Source organism: Homo sapiens, chromosome 15, assembly GCF_000001405.40.
Source record: "Homo sapiens chromosome 15, GRCh38.p14 Primary Assembly".
NCBI lineage: Eukaryota > Metazoa > Chordata > Mammalia > Primates > Hominidae > Homo > Homo sapiens.
Genome location: NC_000015.10, coordinates 27,978,034 through 28,001,945, shown reverse-complemented (window position 1 = coordinate 28,001,945; position 23,912 = coordinate 27,978,034). Strand labels below are relative to the sequence as shown.

At 43.1% G+C, this 23,912-nt stretch overlaps 1 protein-coding gene across 30 annotated transcripts in view, besides 1 other annotated feature; it reads left to right on the top strand.

Moving 5' to 3' along the window:
* The window catches only part of OCA2 (OCA2 melanosomal transmembrane protein), a 380,308-nt gene that overhangs the window by 97,370 nt on the left and 259,026 nt on the right, over positions 1-23,912 (top strand). For 15 of the 30 annotated variants that reach the window (XR_001751294.2, XM_047432614.1, XM_047432606.1 and 12 more), the window contains 5 exons: positions 11,299-11,370; positions 12,280-12,345; positions 15,303-15,359; positions 16,758-16,882; positions 18,463-18,601. Coding sequence is in view for 29 of the 30 variants with exons in the window: in XM_047432614.1 (XP_047288570.1) it covers positions 11,299-11,370; positions 12,280-12,345; positions 15,303-15,359; positions 16,758-16,882; positions 18,463-18,601 (459 nt within the window). In the remaining variant the exon portion in view is untranslated. The remainder of the gene's footprint in view (positions 1-11,298; positions 11,371-12,279; positions 12,346-15,302; positions 15,360-16,757; positions 16,883-18,462; positions 18,602-23,912) is intronic. The other 15 variants (XM_047432618.1, XM_047432609.1, XM_047432607.1 and 12 more) reach the window with 2 other exon arrangements.
* Positions 18,214-18,714: an enhancer, noted in NCBI's record as "H3K4me1 hESC enhancer chr15:28228378-28228878 (GRCh37/hg19 assembly coordinates)". NCBI's record gives its function as "activates a minimal SCP1, AML or CMV promoter by ChIP-STARR-seq in primed H9 embryonic stem cells {active_cell/tissue: H9 hESC(primed)}" and the evidence as "EXISTENCE:reporter gene assay evidence [ECO:0000049][PMID:30033119]".

The following is a 23,912-nucleotide window of genomic DNA, read 5'->3' as shown; positions in this document are numbered from 1 at the left end:
CTCTCGGCCTCTCCAGGCTCCAGGTCGCCTAGCTGGAATCCAATGGCAGAGCCGATGCTGCAGAGAACCAGGTGCCTCTGTGGCTCCTCTGCAGCTCTGCCCGGCTGGGCATTTGTCAGGGCTGTGCACGGCCTCCGGGCATCGCTGAGGTGCATGCTGTCCTCCAGCACCACATTCTGGGGCTGCAGCTCCCTGGGGGCAGTGCTGTGAGTTCAGGCAGCTGTCCTGTGGCTTGGGTGCCTTCATCTCTTCCTTCCTGATGTGTCCAAGTCATTTGGAAGTTTCTCTGCAACATTTTTCCTGCACCCTTCCTCCTTGTTCTTTATTTTTTTCCTCCTTCACAGACACACAAGGAAAGAAAAATATGTGTTTTTTGGCAAGTAGTTGGTTATGTTTTAAATGAGAAATGTAGAATTAAATCCAAACCCTTCCCTGACCACACTGCCCCAGTGCCCAGCTCTGGCGGTCAGCTCTTCATCTCCCACACCCTCCTCTCCTTCCACCCCTGACCCCAGAGCTCCCTTTGGCCTCATATAAGTGGGATCATGCAGTATTTGTCTTTCTGTCTCACTTATTTCACTTAGCATTCAGGTTCGTCCATGTTGTCCCAAATTGGCAGGATTTCCTTCCTTTTTAAGGGTGAATAATATTCTATTTGTGTGTGTATGTGTGTGTGTGTGTGTGTGTTTGTATGTATATGAAACATGTTTTCTTTATTCATTCATCCATTGTGGACACTTAGGTTGTTTCTGTATCTTGGCTACTGTGAATAAGGTTGCAATGAACATGGCCGCACAGATATCTACTTGAGATTCTGATTCCATTTCCTTTGGATATAGACCCAGAAGTGGGATTTTTCTCAGTCATATGGTAGATCTATTTTTAAGTTTGGTGAAAGTTCTATATTGCTTTCCATGTGGCTGTACTAATTTGCACCCCCACAGCATACTAGGGTTCCCTTTTCTTCACATCCTACCCAACATTTGTTATCTCCTGTGTTTTTGATAACAGCCATTCTAACAGGTGTTAGGCCATATCTCATTGTGTTTTTGATGTGCATTTCTCTGATGATTAATGATGCTAAGCACCTTTTCATGTACCTGGGGGCCATTTGCATGTCTTCTTTGGGAAAATGTCTATTATCCTTTGCCCATTTTTTGATCAGGTTATTGATTTTTTTGCTCTTGATTCGTATGAGTTCCTTACATATGTTCAATATTAACCCCTTATTAGGTATATGGTTTGCAAATATTTTCTGAGTCTGTAGGTTGTCTTTTCATTTTGTTGTTTGTTTCCTTTGCTGTGCAAAAGCTTTTTAATTTGATATGGTTCCACTTGTTTATTTTTTGCTTTTGTTACCTGGGCTTTTAGTGTTATATCCAAAAAATCATTGTCAAGACCAGCATCAAGGAGCTTTTCTCCTGTGTTTTCTTCCAGAAGTTTTACAGTTTCAAGTCTTACATGTGAGTCTTTAATCAATTTTAAGTCAATTTCTGTATATGGTGTAGGATAGGGTCCACTTTCATTCTTTTGTATGTGGTTATCCAGCTTCCCAATACCATTTATTGAAGAGACTATCCTTTCCCCACTGTGTATTCTTGGCATTCTTGTCAAATATTAGTTGACTGTAACATGCATGGGTTTATTTCTGGGCTGTTGATTCTTCTGTTCTATTGGTCTATATATCTCTTTGTATGCCAGTCATACTGTTTTGATTGCTATAGATGTGTAATATAGTTTGATATCAGGAAGTGTCACGCCTCCAGCTTTTTCCTTCTTACTCAATGTTGACTTGGCTATGTAGGGTCTTCTGTGGTTCCATATAAATTAGAATTTTTTTCTATTTCTATGAAAAATGCCATTGGAATTTTGATAGGGATTGCATTGAATCTGTAGATTGCTTTGAGTAGTTATGGACATTTTAGCAATATTAATTCTTCCAAACCAGGAACATGGGATATCTTTCCATTTATTTGTATCTTCTTTGATTTCTTCATTCATGTCTTACTGTCCTGAGTGTACAGATCTTTAAACCTCTTTGGTTAAATTTATTCCTATTTTATTCTTTTTGATGCTATTATAGATGGGATTATTTTCTTTCTTTTTCGGATAGTACATTGTTAGCATATTGAAGTAAAACTGTTATTTTGTATGTGTTCTGATTTTGTATCCTACGAATTTACTGAATTTGTTTATTAGTGTTAGTAGAGTTTTGGTAGAGTCTTTAGGGTTTTCTATATATAAGATCACATCTGTAAACAAATAGAGTTTAACTTCATCCTTTCCAATTTGGACATTTTTAATTTTGTTGTTGTTGTTGTCTAATTGCTCTACTATGTACTTCTGGTACTATGTTGAATAGAAGTGGTGAGAGTGAGCATCCTTGTCTTGTTCCTGACCTTGGAAGAAAAGCTTTCAGCTTTTCACTATGGAGTATAATGTTAGCTGTGGGCTTGTTATATATGGTCTTTATTACGTTGTGGTACATTTATTCTATACCTTATTTGTTGAGAGCTTTTAATTATGAAAGGATGTTGAATTTTCTCAAATGCCTTTTCTGCATTCATTGAGATGATCCTATGATTTTTATCCTTCATTCTGTTAAGGCAATGTATCACATTTATTGATTTGCGTATGTTGAACCTGTCCTTGGATTTGGGAATAATTCCTACTTAATCATGGTATATGATCCTTGTGATGTGCTGCTGAATTCAGTTTGCTAGTATTTTGTTGAGCATTTTTTCTTGTTATACTTTAAGTTTTAGGGTACATGTGCACAATGTGCAGGTTAGTTACATATGTATACATGTGCCATGCTGGTGTGCTGCACCCATTAACTCGTCATTTAGCATTAGGTATATCTCCTAATGCTATCCCTCCCCCCTCTCCCCACCCCACAACAGTCCCCAGAGTGTGATGTTCCCCTTCCTGTGTCCATGTGTTCTCATTGTTCAATTCCCATCTACGAGTGAGAACATGCGGTGTTTGGTTTTTTGTCCTTGCGATAGTTTACTGAGAATGATGATTTCCAATTTCATCCATGTCCCTACAAAGGACATGAACTCATCATTTTTTATGGCTGCATAGTATTCCATGGTGTATATGTGCCACATTTTCTTAATCCAGTCTATCATTGTTGGACATTTGGGTTGGTTCCAAGTCTTTGCTATTGTGAATAGTGCCGCAATAAACATACATGTGCATGTGTCTTTATAGCAGCATGATTTATAGTCCTTTGGGTATATACCCAGTAATGGGATGGCTGGGTCAAATGGTATTTCTAGTTCTAGATCCCTGAGGAATCGCCACACTGACTTCCACAATGGTTGAACTAGTTTACAGTCCCACCAACAGTGTAAAAGTGTTCCTATTTCTCCACATCCTCTCCAGCACCTGTTGTTTCTTGACTTTTTAATGATCACCATTCTAACTGGTGTGAGATGGTATCTCATTGTGGTTTTGATTTGCATTTCTCTGATGGCCAGTGATGATGAGCATTTTTTCATGTGTCTTTTGGCTGCATAAATGTCTTCTTTTGAGAAGTGTCTGTTCATATCCTTCACCCACTTTTTGATGGGGTTGTTTGTTTTTTTCTTGTAAATTTGTTTGAGTTCATTGTAGATTCTGGATACTAGCCCTTTGTCAGATGAGTAGGTTGCAAAAATTTTCTCCCATTCTATAGGTTGCCTGTTCACTCTGATGGTAGTTTCTTTTGCTGTGCAGAAGCTCTTTAGTTTAATTAGATCCCATTTGTCAATTTTGTCTTTTGTTGCCATTGTTTTTGGTATTTTAGACATGAAGTCCTTGCCCATGCCTATGTCCTGAATGGTATTGCTTAGGTTTTCTTCTAGGGTTTTTATGGTTTTAGGTCTAACGTTTAAGTCAATATAAGCAACTTCAGCAAAGTCTCAGGATACAAAATCAATGTACAAAAATCACAAGCATTCTTATACACCAATAACAGACAAACAGAGAGCCAAATCATGAGTGAACTCCCATTCACAATTGCTTCAAAGAGAATAAAATACTTAGGAATCCAACTTACAAGGGACGTGAAGGACCTCTTCAAGGAGAACTACAAATCACTGCTCAATGAAATAAAAGAGAATACAAACAAATGGAAGAACATTCCATGCTCATGGGTAGGAAGAATCAATATCGTGAAAATGGCCATACTGCCCAAGGTAATTTATAGATTCAATGCCATCCCCAGCAAGCTACCAATGACTTTCTTCACAGAATTGGAAAAAACTACTTTAAAGTTCATATGGAACCAAAAAAGAGCCCGCATCGCCAAGTCAATCCTAAGCCAAAAGAACAAAGCTGGAGGCATCATGCTACCTGACTTCAAACTATACTACAAGGCTACAGTAAGCAAAACAGCATGGTACTGGTACCAAAACAGAGATATAGATCAATGGAACAGAACAGAGCCCTCAGAAATAACGCCGCATATCTACAACTATCTGATCTTTGACAGACCTGAGAAAAACAAGCAATGGGGAAAGGATTCCCTATTTAATAAATGGTGCTGGGAAAACTGGCTAGCCATATGTAGAAAGCCGAAACTGGATCCCTTCCTTACACCTTATACAAAAATTAATTCAAGATGGATTAAAGACTTGTTGAGCATTTTTACATCTAAGTTCATCAGGGATATTGGCCTGAAATTAATTAATTTTCCCTTTCTTTCTTTCTTTCTTTCCTCCTTCCTTCCTTTCTTTCTTTCCTTTCCTTTATATCCTTTCCTCTCTTCTTTTCTTTCTCTCTCCTTCCTTCCTTCCTTTCTTTCTTTCTCTCTCTCTTCCTTCCTTCTTCCTTCCTTCCTTCCTTTCTTTTCTTTCTTCCTTTCTTTCTTTCTCTCTCTTTCTCCCTTCCTTCCTTCTTTCCTTCCTTCCTTCTTTCTCTCTCTCTCTCTTTCTTTCTTTCTTTCTCTCTTTCTCTCTTCTTTTTTTTTGTTGTGTCCTTATCTGGCTTTGGTATGAAGGGTAACACCAGCTTTATAAAACAAGTTTCGAAGTGTTCTCTCTTCATTTTTTGCAAAAGTTTGAAGTTTTACAAAAGTTCCAGTATTGGCATTCTTTAAATGTTTGGTAGAATTTACCTGTGAAGCCATTGGTGAGACTTTCTTTGTTGGAAGGTTTTTGATTAGTGCTTCAATCTTCTTACTTCTTATTGGTCTGTTCAGGTTTTCTATTTTTTCTTGATTCAGTCTTGGTAGGTTGCATGTTTCTAGGAATTTACCAGTTTCTTCTAGGCTATCAATTTGTAGGCATGTAATCTTATGATATCAGTTGTAATGTCTTCTTTTTCATTTATAATTTTATTTATGTGAGTGCTCTTTTTTTTTCTTGGTAGGTCTAGATAAAGTTCCATCAATTTTGTTTATCCTTTCAAACCCAACTCTTAGTTTTGCTGATCTCTTCAATTGTCTTTCTAGTCTCTGTTTCATTTCTTTCTGCCAATATTTTTTTCCTTCTGTCAACTTTGGGCTTAGCTGGCTCTTCTATTTCCTTGAGGTATAAAGTTAGGTTGTTTATTTGAGCTCTTTCTTCTTTTTTAAAGTTTTATTTTATTTTTAATTAACAAATAAAAATTGTATATATGTATGGGGCACAATGTGGTTTTCAATTCATTTATACACTGTAGTGTCATCCAATCAGGCTAATGATTTTGAGGTAGGTATTCATCACTATAAACTTCCCTCCTAAAACTGCTTTTGCTGTGTCCCATAAATTTTGGTATGTTGTGTTTCCATTTTTGTCTGTCTCAAGATACTTTCTGATTTCCATTTTATTTCTTTTATGACACATTGGTTGCTCAAGAGTGTGTTGCGGCTGGGTGTGGTGGCTCACACCTGTAATCCCAGCACTTCAGGAGGCTGAGGTGGGCGGATCATGAGTTCAGGAGTTCAAGACCATCCTGGCCAACACAGTGAAACCCCGTCTCTACTGAAAATACAAAAATTAGTCAGGCATGGTGGTGCTTGCCTGTAGTCCCAGCTACTTGGGAGGCTGAGGCAGGAGAATTGCTTGAACCTGGGAGGCAGAGGCTGCAGTGAGCCAAGACTGTACCACTGCACTCCAGCCTGGGTGACAGAGCGAGACTCCATCTCAAAAAAAAAAAAAAAAAGTGTTGCTTAATTTTTGCATATTTATCAATTTCCCTATTTTCCTTCTGTTATGAATTTCTAGTTTTATACCATTGTGTTCGGAAAATATACTTGATATTATTTACATCTTCTAAAATTTGTTAAGTTCAAGCATGGTGGCTCATGCTTATAATCTTAGTGCTTTAGGAGGTTGAGGCAGGAGGATCACTTGAGACCAGGAGTTCAAGACCAGCTTGGGCAACATAGCAAGACCTCCATCTCTGAAAAAAAAAAATTAGCTGGACATGGTGGTGTACACTTGTAGTCCTAGTTACTCAGGAGGCTGGGGCAAGGGGATTGCTTAAGTCCAGGAGTTCAAGACTAAAGGGAGCTTTGATTGCACCACTGCACTCCAGCCTGGGTGACAGAGCAAGACTCTGTCTCTAAGACAAAATTTTTTTTAAAAGAAATAAAATTTGTTAAGACTTGTTTGTGACCTAATATGTGATATATCCTGAAGACTTTTTTGTGTGTGCTAGAGAAGAATGTCTTTTTCTGCTGTTGGGTGGAAAGTTCGGTCTATGTCTGTTAGGTCCACTTGGTGTACAGTGCTGTTCACGTCTGCTGTTTCCTGTCTGGATGTTCTATCCATTGTCTTAAATGGGATATTGAAGTCCCCTATTACATTGCATTGCTTTCAATTTCTCCCTTTATCTCTGTTAATACTGCTGTGCATATTTAGGTGCTCTGGTGTTGGGTGTGTACTTATTTATAACTGTGATAGGTCCCTGTTGAATTGACCATTTTATCAGTGGAAGAGGGTGGGTAATGACCTTCTTTGTCTCTAGAGACAGTTTTTGACTTACAGTCTATTTTGTCTGATATAACTTTAGCTATCCCTGCTGTCTTTTGGTTACCATTTCCATGCAAATGGTAACCAAAAGAAGTTTTGTCTTTCCATCTGCTCGGTATCCCACCTATCTGGAATTTACATGATGACTAGCTGTAAACCTGTGTGACTATGGAGGGGCAGATGCGTGAAGATCAGAGATGCCCTAGATAATTTCCTTGGGGGCTGCCCCCAAACTCTTTCCTTTCTTCTCCCAGGAAGCGATGCTGGCCTTCTGTTTTGCAGGCTCTGTTCATGCATTTTCTGCTTCTCATTTGCTCAGCATGTATTGCTTGCGCTGCAGAGCACTGAAGAAACCAAGAGAGGCACGCCATGCTCACAGGAGCTCACAGCTGGACTCTTGCCAAAGAAACTCATAGGCACAGAGTGTCGGCTCGACCAGAGAGGAGTGCAGTGATAGAACGGTGGCTGGGTCTGTGAGGCGATGCCTGGGAAGCTAGGTGGTGCGTTCTGTGCCTGGGAAGTGGTTTGGGTGTAGGAAGAGGTGTGCTATATTTCCCAGAGCATGGGCAGGAAGAGAACCTTTGTACAGTCCTTTAAGGCAGTGGTCCCCAACCTTTTTGGCACCAGGGACTAGTTTCATGGAAGACAATTTTTCCATGGACCGTGGGGTGGGACATCATTTTGGGATGAAACTGTTCCACCTCAGATCATCGGGCATTAGTTAGATTCTCATAAGGAGTGTGCAACCTAGATCCCTCACATGCGCAGTTCACAGTAAGGTTCACGCTCCTATGAGAATCTGATGCTGCCGCTGATCTGACAGGAGGCAGAGCCCAGGCGGTCATGTTCACTTGCCCAGCTCACCTCCCACTGTGCGGCCCTGGTACTAGTCCGTGGCAGGGTTAGGAGGGTTGGGGACCCCTGCTTTAAAGCATCTTTTAAGAATTTTTATTATTTTTACTCTTTAGGTCCATTTACCAGAAATTTTTTTATTCCTGATAGCTGAAAATTCTTTTTCTTAAGCATAGAAATTTAGTAGTGTCCATCATTATATCTGAAGTAATGAACTCATCTTCTTCTACAACCATGTAGTTTAAAAAGTTTTATTCCACATCCTAGAGGCGGATCATCAGCGTGCTTTTCCATTTTTTAAATGGGAAGTGATGGTTTCGCCTCCCACGTGGTGTGTGGGGCCCCTTAGCTGGTGGAAGAGGGTGGGTTTCTGAGTGAGGATAGCTGCATCCACATGTCCTAAGCACTCACTGTGGGCCACAGAGATGCTCATGTGTGGATCACTTGCAAGCCGGTGTGTGTGACGAGGGAGGGGAGAAAGGTGTTGATGGTGGCAGTGGGCGGAGCAAACTTAGCGAGGGTGCTAGGGGTGTCAGTGAGACCACGATGAGCCCAGCTGTCCTGAGAGGGCCATGGCTGTCTGCCTTGTCGTTTGCTCATTTGTGTGTTAATCTGCTAGGACTCATGATTTCATGATGTCCACGGACCTCCTCCAGAGCTGAGGGCTCCTTGAGGTATGTAGTGCAGTTTTCTGATTTTACAAATGAGCAAACAAGGCCCCACGAGGAGAGAGGAGGTGCTCTGGAGTAAGAAAATGCTGGTCTGTATCCTGGGTGTGCGTGTCCTTTGTTTTCCGACACGGGGACAATTATTCAGCTGAGACTGTTTCCTCCTCTGCAAAGTGGATTATCATAGTTCTACTTCATGCAGTTGCTGTGAAAGGTGCAGATGGTGTGTGTAGAGCACTTAATCCAGGGCCGGGTGCACAGTAGGTGCTCAATAAAAATTAGTTATTTTTGCTGCTATCCAATCCTGCTGACCAGTGGCTGGCAGTCATGGCTCTTCACTCTTTTTTGTTTTTTGTTTGAGACGGGGTCTCGCTCTGTTGCCCAGGCTGGAGTGCAGTGGTGCAATCTTGGCTCACTGCAGGCTCTGCCTCCAGGGCTCAAGCAATTCTCCCACCTCAGACTCCCGAGTCACTGGGACTATAGGTGTGTGCCACCACACCTGGCTAATTTTTTTTATTTTTAGTAGAGATGAGGTCTTGTGATGCTGGCCAGGCCGGTCTTGAACACCTGGCCTTAAGCAATCTGCCTGCCTTGGCCTCCCAAAGTGCTGCGATTACAGGTGTGAGCCACTGTGCCAGGCCGGCTCTTTGCTCTTTACTGGAAGTCTCCTTTCCGTCCAGACAAAGTTAGCCCAAAGGTTAAGCCAGAAGAAAGGAACATGTCATAGAGTGAGGTCACAGGGCTGGCTTGGAGCAGGCTTCATCCCTATCTGCTCTGTCCCTGCAGTGACTTCCTCCTGTCATCCATGGGCTGTATTTGCATGCTGTCACATCCTGTTCTACTAATGAAGACTTAATTAAATATCAAAAAAGAGACATACCAAAGTGGGAAGTGTCTTCGCCTTGTTCTCTGTAGGGCGGATAGGACAGCCTGGCTCTGGTGCCTGCTCACCATGTCCAGCGGGTGACCCTCCACTCTCAGCGCCATGGCTGTCAAGTTGGGGATGAATGCCTGCCCTGCCTGCTTCCTGGGGCCACCCTTGGCATTGGATAAGGAAGTATCCTTAAAATGGGTCCTAAACTGGCTGGGCGCGGTGGCTCATGCCTATAATCCCAGCAGTTTGGGAGGCGAGGTGGGTGGATCACCTGAGGTCAGGAGTTGGAGACCAGCCTGGCCAACATGGTGAAACCCCGTCTCTACTAAAAATATAAAAACTAGCCAGGTGTGGTGGTGGGTGCCTGTAATTGCAGCTACTTGGGAGGCTGAGGCAAGAGAATTGCTTGAACCCAGGAGATGGAGGTTGCAGTGAGCCAACGTGGTGCCACTGCACTCCAGCCTCGGCAACGGAGTGAGACTCCGTCTCAAAAAAAAAAAAAGCGTCCTAAACTAAGACTGAAAAGCAGAGAACGAACAGAAGGAATTATTAGAGTTTGGTAGCAAGTTATTGGATTTTAGGTATTTACATTTAAAACAAACAAAACAACTCTTAAAAAGTGAAACTGTGAAAAGCCAACACCTAGTATCACATTTCCTGAAAATGAACTTTGAATCTAGTACTACACATTATAAATGATATAATTTTAGTCAGAATTTGCATTTCAGGTAATTACTGGTAAAGGGAGTCAGTTTCTGTGAGATGGAAGCTGTGAAAAAATGGAGTGGAAGTCCCTTTAGGGGATTAAGAAATGAATAATGCATGCTAGCGTTTAATTTTCCGCTTGTTCTTGCCACATTCTTTTTGTATTTTTTTAACAAATTTATTGAGGTATAATTTAAATACCATTAATTTCACCCCTTGGAAATGTACAATTAAGTTATTTTTACCAGTTTAGAGTTCTGCCACCATCACAAGTTCTAGAACATTTCATCACCCCATAAGGATCCCTGGGACCCGTTTCCAGTCAACCTTTGTTGCTTTCCCCAGCCTTGGGCAGCCCTGATCTTTCTGTTTCTCTAAATTTACTTTTTCTGGAAAGTTCATATAGATGGACCGACCCCATCTTCTGTGTCTGGCTTCTTTCCCCAGCATCACTTCTAAGCATTCATCCGTGCACGAGCTGTGCCGCATTTTCTTTATCCCTTCACCACGGATGGACATTTGGAAAGTTTCCAGTTTTCGCCTCCTTTGTATAATGTTGTTATGAGCATCAGTGCTTTGTGTGGACATGTGTTTTCATTTCTTTTGGGTGGATTCCTAGTAGAATTGCTGGGTCATATGGTAAATTTATGTTTAACTTCGTAAGAAACTGCCAAACTGCTTTCCACAGTGGCTAGCCCATTTTACATTCCCACTAGCAATGTATGAGGGCTCCAATTCTCCACATCTTGGCCTTTTCTCATATTTTGTCTTAGAAATTCCACTTCCATTTGAATTATAATCAAATAGAAAAGATGCTTTTGTGATAACACAGACATCTCAATTAGATGAAGTGTTGGACTGTGTACCTTTGGTTTAACAGCAGCCTAGTAATTGGGAGGAATTGATTTATGTTGCTGAACAAATGGGCCAGTTGCCAAGGGAGCATATGGCAAATAATTAATGACAGTTTGCTATGGCCTTTCTCATAGAACATACTCCATCTGGCCTTCCGCTGCTTTATCAGGGTCATCTAATTATTTAGGAAATGCAAGCAGCTTCCCTTAGATGGCACGTTGGTGGTAGCTGTATGTGTCTGTGGGGTGTCCAGGCCTGAAACATCAAGACCCATGACTTATCATTTGAATAGATGTGGTACACAGTGGCAGATATAGACCCCCTCATGTCCACACAGGCTTTCGTGTGTGCTAACTCCCTCGTGCACTGGAACGCGGTAATTTCCTGTGCTTCTTTCCAGATCGTGCACAGAACTCTGGCGGCCATGCTGGGTTCCCTTGCAGCACTGGCAGCACTGGCTGTGATTGGCGATGTAAGTTGTCACAGTCCCAATCCCTGGCTTACCACTCAGTGGGATGTCAGCTCAAAGATGTTCCAGGATTCAGGCTTTCGCTGGTTTTTTCACTATTTTATATGCCACGTCCATGTTTTTGCCCAAGAACCATGCTAGAGGTATGAACTAACAAGCTACAGCATTGAAGAGTACTTTTCATTAGGTTTTGTCACACACTCACATCCCAGTGGTGTGATTCCTCATCGTGGTGGAGGAAAGGCTCCTCATGGGCATGTTTGCCTAGGGCTGTGGAGCTGGGTTGTGATGGGGCTGGATCTGGGTGTTGGAACTAGAGGGGACCGTCCTAGCTGGTGCAGAAAGGTGGGAGTCAGTTGGGCCAGGGTCTGTCCTGAAGAGATCAGGAGGCCCCTGGAGAGGCGTGTTTGGGGATGAGGGTGTCCTGTTTGGGTCTGAGCAGGGCCTCTCTGGCAGGGACATGGGAAACAAATGTAGGGAAACAACAGAGACCAGTGGCCACTGGGGATGGAGGCCCAGAGTTGTCTGAGAGGCAGTGCTGGAACCCAGCTGAGAGTGGGACAGCTGCCATGCCAGTTCCTGTCATCTGGTCTCAGGCACGGCACTGCAGAGAGCACATACAGACTCCACTCGGAATGTAACCAGGGGCCAGTCCCGCCATGTGGGAGCTGCCAGAGGCAGGGGCTAGAAAAAACTTTATTACTAAATGCATAGATTTGACATTATAGATGCCCTGGGTCAAGACTGTTTTTCAGCAGCGATATAATCCAACTTCAAAGGCAAGTGGATGGTGAGATTTCCAACCCTGGCCCGCCCACTGAGTGGGTCTGCAGCAGGGGGCAGCGCTTCATTAGGCTCATCACTGGGATGGCGGCGCACGGATTAATTGGCAAATTTGTGCTTTGATTGCAGAGACCCAGCCTGACCCATGTGGTGGAGTGGATTGATTTTGAGACGCTGGCCCTGCTGTTTGGCATGGTAATTACAGCTCTCCCCGTGGGACTGGGCTCCACGCCTGCGGTAACCGGGCCTTCTCTGGCCTCCACCGCTGAGGGTCCTTCATTATGTTAAAGACACAGCGCCTAGGGCTTGACTGAGAAGTGTTAGTGCAGGTCTCATGAATCTCCTGAGGAGGAATGGAATGGGGCTATGGTTCGTGGGCGGGAGAATTTCAGCCCAAGGCGTGTCTGACGATGAAGTCATATTGCCATTTAGAAAAGCTAGCAATTCTTTTGAGTTATTTCCGTTAAAATAAAAAAAATGGACTATCCCAAATAAATAAACCATGTAGGAGTTTCAGTGGGAGAGAGAGTACCTTTCATTATGTGAATAAAGGAAGGTGTCACTCCTAAGTATTAGTTGGGTGTTTACCAATTGATCATAGTGCCCAGTGGCCACTCTGCTGTGAGGAATGCCACCAAGTCCACCTGCAGGATCTCGAAGTGCCCAAGCGGGCTAGTGTGGGACTCACTAGTGTGAGTCCTAACCCAGCTTAACTAGAACCAGTGGAGCCTGGGCAGCAGGGGCAGTCCACGTGTTCCTCAGCAGACCCCAAACAGTCCAGTGGTCTGCAGGAGGGCTCTTCCTCTCTGGGCTAGAAGACTTGCTCTGTGTACAGCTGGGCACGATAGATCCTCATTTTCCTTGCCAACATTTCGTCCCTCCCAAGGCTGGCTGACATAACGGAGGGCCCAGCTATGTGACCTGATGGAAACCGTGCCGCCATCCTCTGTGGGTGGTGCGCAGGGAGGCAGGCCAGTGCTCTAACCCTGGCTTCACAGAGTAACTAATACTTGTGTCGGGCCTGAGACGTATACAGAGTTTGGGCATCTGGATAGAAGAGAGGAAGTGTACCAGATATCCCTGAGATACGCCTTTTTTAAAAAAGGAATGCTATATTAGTTTGCTAGGACTATGTAACAAAGTACCACAGACCGTGTGGCTTAAATAATATAAATGTATTTTCTCACAGCTCTGGAGGCTGCAAGTCCGAGATCACGGTGTGGGCAGGCATGCTTTCTCCTGAGCCTCCCTCCTGGGCTTGTAGATGGCACCTTCTCCCAGCGTTTTCACTTTGTCTTCCCCGTGTGTTTCTGATTCCTGAGACCCTCATCCTATAAGGACATCAGTCACACTGAATGAGGGCTCACCCTAACAACCTCATTTTAATTTAATTACCTCCTTCAACGCCCTCACTCCAAATACAGTCTCACATTCCCAGGTACTAGGGGCTAGGAGGTGAACATATGAATTTTGGGGGACACAGCCTATAAAAATGGCTTCAGCACGTTTTTCTCGGTGGAATTCAGTTCAGCGAGCACTGGCAGGTTCTGTGATTCTGGAACTGCAGGGTACAGGGTCGTTACAACCAGGTCCCTGCCTCTTCTCCCCCATTTCCTGGCAGCCAACCACCCATGGGACCATTTACCCCCATCCCTGAGTTCTAGTCTCCCAGGGTGGTTCTGTCAGCAAATGTGTAAAACACCACATGGGTCTCCACACGCCTGTCTCCTCATGCGTATTCACGTGAAGCTACATTGGTGTGCGAAGCCCCACGCTCCACCGTCAGCTCTCAGTGGCCTTTTGGGTGAGGATGAACATTGATGGTCACTCTGGACATGGTGGATATTTACACTGGGTCTAAATTGACTGGGGACATTTTTGTTTTCTATAGTTTATTTGAGAGACAATAGTGTCTGTTGGGACTCCTGTTTACTGAGTATTGTAATTTGAATAATTATATTGCATTTTCATAACCTGACAAAGTATAGAACATTCACAGGTAAGGTGAGAAAACTGAAGGACAGAAAGGTTAATTCATATTTTTGTTCAAGTTCGGACTTTTTTTTTTGAGACAGAGTCTCGCTCTGTCTCCAGGCTGGAGTGCAGTGGCGTGATCTTGGCTCACTGCAAGCTCCCCGTCCTGGGTTCATGCCATTCTCCTGCCTCAGCCTCCTGAGTAGCTGGGACTACAGGCGCCCGCCACCCCACCCAGCTAATTTTTTGTATTTTTTTTTTTTTTTAGTAGAGATGGGGTTTCACCATGTTAGCCAGGAGGGTCTCGATCTCCTGATCTCGTGATCCGCCCGCCTTGGCCTCCCAAAGTGCTGGGATTACAGGCGTGAGCCACCACACCCAGCCTCAAGTTCAGACTATTTTTAAGTGGCAGAATCAGGATCTGAACTTGCATCTTCTCATTCCAAGTTCAACACATGGTGACTGCCATCAAAGAGGTGAAGCAGAGGAACTTCCAGAACATTCACTAGCTGAGATGTCTGGTTGATAAAATTCAGAATAACTGGGACATGACTTTTTATTAGGATCCAGGATGGCTGTTTCTGTTTTCACTAACTCATCATCCTCACTGGAAAGAAACAGGTGATAGGCATTCTGGGTTCACCTGGAACCCAGGGAGCAATCATTTCAATAAAACTCTCAAATTGGTGACAAAAATCAGTTTAATTATTTTAGAAAACAAAATTGAACCCAATTTTAGCATCATAGAATGTTTAAGTGTTGCTTGTGTGGACACGTAGGTGCAGAAGGCCACATGCTGGCTCCCGCCCGGCTTCTAGATTTGTGGCTGTGAGCAACCCACCTCGCACTCTGATCCCATTTTCTAGTCTATAAAACAGAGGGTGAAAATAACACCTGATTTTTTTGTGTGTGAGGATCAGATGGGATGGTAATGTGCCTTGAGGACAAATCCCTGGACACACATATAGGCACAAAACTGCTAGCAAGAGGCTCCATTCAAGGAGTGAGTGAGTGTACTATTCCAGGAAGTGACGGTCTTTCTGCATCTCAGAGTGAGGAGCTTGGTGATGTGGTGGCTTTCAGAGGCCAGAGCTCAAATGTGTAAGGGATCATGCTGATGTCGTTTTAATATGGTGTCCTGCTAAAAGATTATCCTTGTCTTCTTCTTTTCCCCATAGATGATCTTAGTAGCCATATTTTCAGAAACGGGATTTTTCGATTATTGTGCTGTAAAGGTAGGTATGATGTTGCATTTAATAATTCTATCCTGATTAATTTATATATGTATTTTTCTGACATTATATATTTAGGAAACAAACATTTAAAACAAACATTGAAAAATTCCATCCTTCTTTTAAAGGTTGCTTCTGCAGGGCAGGGTATACTTGCTATGTTAAGTTGTATGGCTCTGAGCAGCACTTTCAGCTGCTCAGTAAATAAATGAAGAAGGAGGTCAAGGAAAAGGGTACTCAGGTTGAATCGTTGTGTATTATTTAAATTGTCTGGTGAGAGCTACACATCAAAAATTGTTTTACATATTAGAGTATCCCAATATTTCAAGCCATTAGCTTCTGATTACTTTGCTTTTTGGTGAAATAATTTCCATGATTCCTTCCTAAATATTGAATATATACACATTTACATTTTTAACTGGAACCCTGGGGAGCTTCACCAGCCAGCTCTGGCCTCCAGGATTTGTACCTGTCCTGTCATTCAGGGTTGGCAAGAGGAGAGCTCAACATGTACCATGCCCTGCTAATGCAGTCTAGTGCTGTGCTTGAATATATATTATTTTTGAAACTGAAAAGGTCTTTTTAAAAATTACTCAACAGGCTGGGCGCAGTGGCTCACGCCTGTAATCCTAGTACTTTGGGAGCCCAAGGTGGGCAGATCACGAGGTCAAGAGGTTGAGACCATCCTGGTGAACATGGTGAAACCTCATCTCTACTAAAAATACAAAAATTAGCTGGGCGTGGTAGCACACGCCTGTAATCCCAGCTACTCGGGAGGCTGAGGCGAGAGAATTGCTTGAACCCCAGGCGTGGAGGTTGCAGTGAGCCGAGATCACACCACCAAACTCCAGCCTGGGTGGCAGAGTGAGACTCTGTCTCAAAAAAAAAAAAAAATTACTCAACAAAGCCCTTTGCAAACTCTGAATGATGGAACTGTGCTGTGATTTTTGTCATCTTTGAGCCCCACCTTATACATGCCAGGTAGATATTTGGTCTATTACTCCTTACTATTAAAAGTATCCCTTAGTTCCCCAGAGATCAGCAGACACTAGGCTCACATGGATCCCAAATGTCAAAGCCCAGGTTGTCTAACCAGAATACCGATGGCATTACGGGGACTGAGGGTCATCACCTTGTGACAAATTAACCATCACAGGGGCTCTGTGAAGGAAGAGGATCAGAGGGGTGACAGTGCTGGCTAGGGAGGATTTAGAATGTCTAGGAACTTCGATGGCCAGCACTGTCTCATCTCGGCCCCCCTAGGACTCCGTGGGTCTATGTCTTAACCCATGGGGTAATGTTAGTTTGGCTCCCTGTTCTTAAAGTCACTAATGAAAGGCTGCCTCTGTTCTACGAGCCTGCTCACTCTGGCTTGTACTCTCTCTGTGTGTGTGTGGCCAGGCATACCGGCTCTCCCGGGGACGGGTGTGGGCCATGATCATCATGCTCTGTCTCATCGCGGCCGTCCTCTCTGCCTTCTTGGACAACGTCACCACCATGCTCCTCTTCACGCCTGTGACCATAAGGTACGCAAAGCACCTCTGCCGTGGGAGTTGCGGCCAGGTTCTGGCAGGCAGGGGCTCTGCCTGCACTGCCTGGCTCCAGGTTCCATTCTCAGGTGCATGAAAAGGTGGGGGCGGTTGAGCCCACAGCTCACTGCATTCCAGTCCAGCTCGTGTCTGCTTTGTGTGACTGCAGTACATGCTACAAGCAGTGGGGCCTCAGAAGCTGGTGGCAGAAATGCCTGCAGGAGGTGGAAGACATAGGCCTTGCTTTCCTGGAGATTGTGGTCTCATGGGGAGACATGTGGACAAGAATGGCTCACCCCTGGTGAAACCCCGTCTCTACTAAAAATACAGAAATTAGCCAGGCGTGGTGGCACGTGCCTGTAATCCCAGCTACTGGGGAGGCTGAGGCAGGAGAATCCCTTGAACCCGGGAGGCGGAGGTTGCAGTGAGCTGAGATTGCGCCACCACACTCCAGCCTGGGCAACAGAGCGAGACTCCGTCTCAAAAAACAAACAAACAAACAAACAAAAAATGGCTCACCCCAGACCACCAGGTGCCCAGGTGCCAGGAGTCCCTGTCCATGTTCTTCTCCATCACCATCTGCTGAGGTGGTGGGAGGCCTCTGAGTGAGACCCAAGGCCGGGTCCTGTGTGGGAGTGGGCTGTGTGGATGAGCAGGTGTAGGGGATGCTGTGATGTGCCTTCTACACTTTCTTTAGAGCAATGTTTCCCAGCTGTGTGCATACTGGGTCCCCTGGGGAGCTGTAGAGCACCACTGCCCGGGCCCACTCCCAGGCACTGGTCTGCGCTGGGCGAGTTGTAGGACTCCCAGATTCCAGCACAAATCTAGTGTGAGGCCATGGTGGAGCTCCACAGCTGTAGAATGTGGCTTAGACAGATCTGTAGGGTGAATACAGTTAGCATGAATTGATTGTACACTCCAAGATAGCTAGAAGAGAATAACTGGAATGCTCCCAGGGTAAAGAACAGATTGATATTTAAGGGGATGGTTATCCTAGTTACCTGGTTTGATTATGTGAATTATTACATTATCATATGCACCCTGAAAATGTATGTATGTATATATATATCTAGTATGTTTTATAGCAATACAAAGTAAATACATAGAAAATACATAGATGAATAAAACAAAGGGAGGGGGTGAGAAGAGAGCCTAGGGCCTTGGTGTCCAGGAAGGGGGAGGTGGGAAAGGGGCTGAGTCAGCAGGCCCTGTGTGAGCCATCCGCACTGCCTCCACACTGACCCCCACAGCACTGGCTTGCCTGTGGAGGGCCTGCCCTGCCCTGGGGGCCAGTGCTCCCTCCAGACCTGGGAGCATTGGGGAAAGGGTACCTGACCACACCGAGGGTTTGGTGGCTGGAGGCTCACTCTGGAAAGGAATGTAACTCTCGGAGTGAGCTGTGGCCTGCGGGGGTTGTTGCAGTTGTTCATTCCCCCCAGCACTGCCTTCCCCACAGGGGTGTGTGTGTGTGCGCGCCTCCCTTATACGAGCAAGCGCCTTAAAAATCTCTGGGTTGCATGTGGGCCTTTCACGATGTGTATAGTGGGACTACTTTCATTTTCCTCCATTTGTGACAGGTTGTGTGAGGTGCTCAACCTTGATCCAAGACAAGTCCTGATTGCAGAAGTGATCTTCACAAACATTGGAGGAGCTGCCACTGCCATCGGGGACCCTCCAAATGTCATTATTGTTTCCAACCAAGAGCTGAGGAAGATGGTACGTACCAGCATGCTAGGGTTGCTTCCAGTAAACGCACACCTCCACTTAGTTAGAGCTCTACCCCACATGGACGCCTTTGTTAGAAATCAAGATCATCACGCCACCTCTTCACAGTAAGTGCTACTGGGCATCTCAAGACTGGGATGTTAGGTGACTGGTCCTTCAATCCTAGAGTTAACTGGCTTGAATTGACTTCATACTCATTCTGATCAGTTTTTAAAGAAATGACTGGATAGCATGATGTAGTTAGTCATAGTATGTTATATTAATTGTATTAATAGGAACTGAGGTTTCTTCCAACCTACATTAAAAACAAAATGACCTGTTCCCTCTCACTGGAGATATGGGATTCCCAAACTGTGGTGGATTAGTTTACTGATGAAGGACTTAAAATTTATTTTTTAAGGGTCAGAAATGAATGTCTTTAGAAATTCTTTGAAAGCCCCATATAAATATTAGGGTATAATTTCTTTGTATACTGTAATAAAGACAAAGTATTAGAAAGTGCAAGGTATTCTACATATCTTCAAGGTGAAAATTGAACTATATCATTAATTTTTATTCTCTACTCTTTGATCATTAGAATTTTCTCAATCTTCCTCCTCTGAGGCATCAGTGAAAATGCTTCCACATTGGTGTTATTTCTTGTAGATGATGTGTTTGTGTGTGTGTGTGCCTGAAGGGTAGCAGTGTGTTTGTATTTGAACGCTGTGTTCCATAAAAATATTTAAACATTTGAGAATCCATGGCTCCAGGGTGTTAATGGCCGCTTCATGGAAGCAGTGCGCTCCAGAGGTTCTGGGTATGGCTCTGCATTCCCTAGCTGCCGTGGGAAACTGCTTGGCAACACTTCACCAACTTTGCCATGTGAACTGAGGTGTGCAGCCATGGTCATGCCACCCTGGAGCATGTCAGGTGGTAACAGACCCTGCAGTTTATGCTAGGGGCACCTGTTATCCAGGATGGAGCTCATGCTCATGGAATAGAAGTATTTTTAGAAAAAAATTGTATTGTTAGTTTCATTCCATAAACAGGTAATACTTTTTTTGGTAGAAAACAGAAGTCTCACAGACATGCACATGCACATACAATAAAAATTCATAATTCCAAAAACCAGAGGTAAATTCTTTTAATATTTTGGTGCAAATAGCATCCTAGAGTGTTTGTATGTGGATATAGATGAGTACAAAAGACAGCACAGCTTCTGCTTCTGGCCAACATGGAATAACAGGGCCTGGATTTACTCTCTTGCCTGGGATAGTCAAACAAAACAAAAATAAACCAAAACCAGACAAAACACATGGAACAATGGTAACCAAGTCACTGGATAACAGGCACAAAGGGACAGTGATCCCTGTGAGACGGGAAACAAATGCGGTGAGCTCTATGACTGCTCCAGCTCACTACCTCAAGAGAGCTTCCAGAGTGCAGTGCAGGGAGGGACGACCCTGGCCAAGCCCATGACACCCCCTGAGTTGAGAGGATGAAGCTGAAAGTCTGGGGAGACCAGGGCAGCGAGAGTCCAGAGAGGACACAGCTGAACCACAGAGATCCTCAGAGGGTCCCTTTGGAGTGTTCAGCAGAGTGTTCAGATCAGTGCATTCATGCGAGGAGACTACATGAGACCCGGGGAGAACAACCCAGAAAGATGAGAGGGACAAGTGCTTGACGCACACGACAGGAATAGTAATGATATCTGTTCTGCCAGGCAGACTGGAACCTCTTAATTTATGGAGCACTGGGTAGAGTACTCACAAGTGTCTTGCCTCAGTTATGAGGGGTAATTAACTATAAACTGAACACTGCTCTGCTTCCACCTAAGAAATCTTGAAACTAAGACCCCAAAGAACCAAACTGTTTCTAAGTATTTTAACTGCATCCTAGAACAAACGTCAAGAATATTTAGAGTGATACAAAAATATTCAACAACACACAGGGTAAAATTTGCAATGTCTGGCAACCAATCACTGATTATCAGGCATGTAAAGAAGCAAGAAAATATAACCTATGACAGCGATGATACAAACCATTTGAAACTAACGTAGAACAGGCACAGGTGTTAGAATTAGCAGACTAGGACATTAAAAGTGTTATTATAATGGTGTTACAGATATTCACCAAGTAGCAACATTAAAGATATTAAAAAAGCCCCACATCAAACATCTAGACATGAACATTACAATGTCTGAGATAGAAATACACTTGCTGGGATTAGTGGCATATTAAATATTACATAAGGAAAGATTAATGAAGACATAAATCCAAAATGAAATGGAGTAAAAAGATAATAACAAGGACTGAAAAGCATTAGTGAGCTATGGGAAAATTTCAAGTGGCCTAACATATGCAATTCTCATCTCTGAAGGAGAGAGGGGAACGGAAAAAGGCATCTGAAAAATGGTCCTAAATTCCAAATTTTATGAATGGTATAAACCCACAGAATCAAGAAGTTCAATGAAGCCAGAGCCCAAGAAACACGTAGAATACTACAGTAAGACACATCATAATCAAATTATTTGAAAGCAAGATGAAGAGAAAATCTTAGTTTCCAAAGAAAAAGACATGTTACAGGCGAGGAAACAGAGATAAAGACGACAATATATTTCTCTTTAGAGATAATGCACGTGTGAAGGCAACGGAGCAATACCTTTAAATACTGAAAGAAAACACCTGTGATCTCAGAATACTACACCCGGTGAAAATCTTTTTCTTATGTACAAAAAACAGACTTTTTCTCATATAGAAAAGCTAAAAAGAATGCATCAGCAGCAGACCCACATGGTAAGACATACTAAAGGAAGTCCTTAAGGCAGAAGGAAAATAACACCAAATGGAAACATGGATCTTCACAAAGTCATGAAGAATACTGAAAAGGGTAACTACATGGGGAAATTCACATAATTTAAAAAATTACTGGCCGTGCGCGGTGGCTCACGCCTGTAATCCCAGCACTTTGGGAGGCTGAGGCGGTCGGATCATGAGGTCAGGAGATCAGGACCATCCTGGTTAACAAGGTGAAACCCCGTCTCTACTAAAAATACAAAAACTTAGCCAGGCGTGGTATTGGGTGCCTGTAGTCCCAGCTACTCTGGAGGCTGAGGCAGGAGAATGGCGTGAACCCATGAGGCGGAGCTTGCAGCGAGCCGAGATCGTGCCACTGCACTCCATCCAGCCTGGGCAACAGAGCGAGACTCTGTCTCAAAAAACAAAAAAAAATTAAGCCACTTTGAGATAATTGTTTAAAGAAAACAGTAATGTAACATGTAAGTAGAATTGATGACAACAATAAAATAAAGCCTGGAAGGGAAGAAATTAAAGTATATTAATGTGTCAGGTGCGGTGGCTCACACCTGTAATCCCAGCACTTTGGGAGGCTGAGGCGGGTGGATCATGAGGTGTGGAGATCGAGACCATCCTGGCTAACACGGTTAAAACCCGTCTCTACTAGAAATCCAAAAAAAAAAAAAAAAAAACACTAGCTGGGCATGGTGGCACGTGCTTGTAGTCCCAGCTACTCAGGAGGCTGAGGCAGAAGGATTGCTTGAACCCAGGAGGCGGAGGTTGCAGTGAGCCAAGACTGTGCCACTGCACTCCAGCCTGGGTGAAAGAGTGAGACTCTGTCTCAAAAAAAAAAAAAAAGTATATTAATGTAAGATTTTTTATAGTATATGTAAACTAATATAATTTGAAGGTAGTCCGTGAAAGTTAAAAATGTATATGATAAACTCTAAAGCAACCGCTAAAAGGAAAAACAAAGAGTAACAGCTAATGCCAACAAAGAATATAAGTGGAATCATAAATAGTATTTATTTAATGGAATGGAATTTAGAAAAAAGGCAAAAGGAAGCAAAGAAATGGTGGAACAAATATAAAACAAATTGCAAGAGTTAAACCTAACTATATTTAATAATTACATAACATATAAATAGTTTAAATATCCCAATTAAAAAGCAGGGATTGTCAGATCAAACAAACAAGCCCCATCCAACTATAGATGCTCCTCAGCTAACTTTGGGATTACATCCAGATAAACTTACTGTAAGTTAAAAATATCATAAGCCAAAATGTGTTTAATATACCTAACCTACTGAACATCATAGCTTAGCCTAAGCCCACCTTAAATGTGCTCAGAACACTTACATTAGCATATAGTTGGGCAAAATCTAACACAAAGTCTACTTTATAATAAAGTGCTGGATAGCTCATGTAACTTATTGAATATTGTACATTACATCAAAGTTGAGATGCTTTTGCACCATTGTGAAATTGAAAAATTGTAAATGGAACCAAATTAAGTCAGGGAACATCTGCATTATGCTGCTTACAAGACACAAGTTTAAAATATAAAGATACAAGGCCAGGCGCGGTGGCTCATGCCTGTAATCCCAGCACTTTGGGAGGCCGAGGCTGGTGGATCACCTAAGATCAAGAGTTCAAGACCATCCTGGCTAACATGGTGAAACCCCGTCTCTACTAAAAGTACAAAATATTAGCCGGGCATGGTGGCAGGCACGTGGAATCCTAGCTACTTGGGAGACTGAGGCAGGAGAATCGCTTGAACCCGGAAGATGGAGGTTGCAGTGAGACAAGATCACCCCATTGCACTCCAGCCTGGGTGACGAGTGAAACTCCGTCTCAGGAAAAAAAAAAATGTCTCTCTCTCTCTCTCTATATATATACACACATATATACATATAGACACAAGTTAAAAGTAAAGGAATGGCAAAAGATTCATCAGAACAAAGTGGCTATATTAATATCTGACAAAGTAGACTGCAGAGCAAAGAATATTTCTAGGATTAAAGAACATTTCATCATAATAAAGGGGTAAATTCATATAGTGAACATAAAAATTACATTTATACAACCAATGACAGAGCTTTAAAATATGTGAAACTTGATAGTACTGCAGGAGGAATAGATAAATCCTTAATTATAGTTGGAGAGTTCAGTACAATTCTCACAATAATTGAAAGAACAAGTAGAGAGAAAATCTACAAGGATATAGAAAACTTCATTATTGTTAACTAACATGACCTAGTTGATATTTATAGAAAACGCCACTCAATATCAGAAGAATGTATATGTTTTTCCAACTGCACTTGAAACATTAACTGAAATGGATTCTAGGCCATAAGACAGATCTCAATAAACTTAAAAAGATTCAAGTAATATAAAATATTTTCTGTGACCACAGTTGAATTAAATTAGAATATAATAACAAGGATATGTGGAAAATCCTCAAATATCTGGAAACTAAATAACACACATTTCAGTAATCCAAGGGTCAAAGAAGAAAGTGAGATTG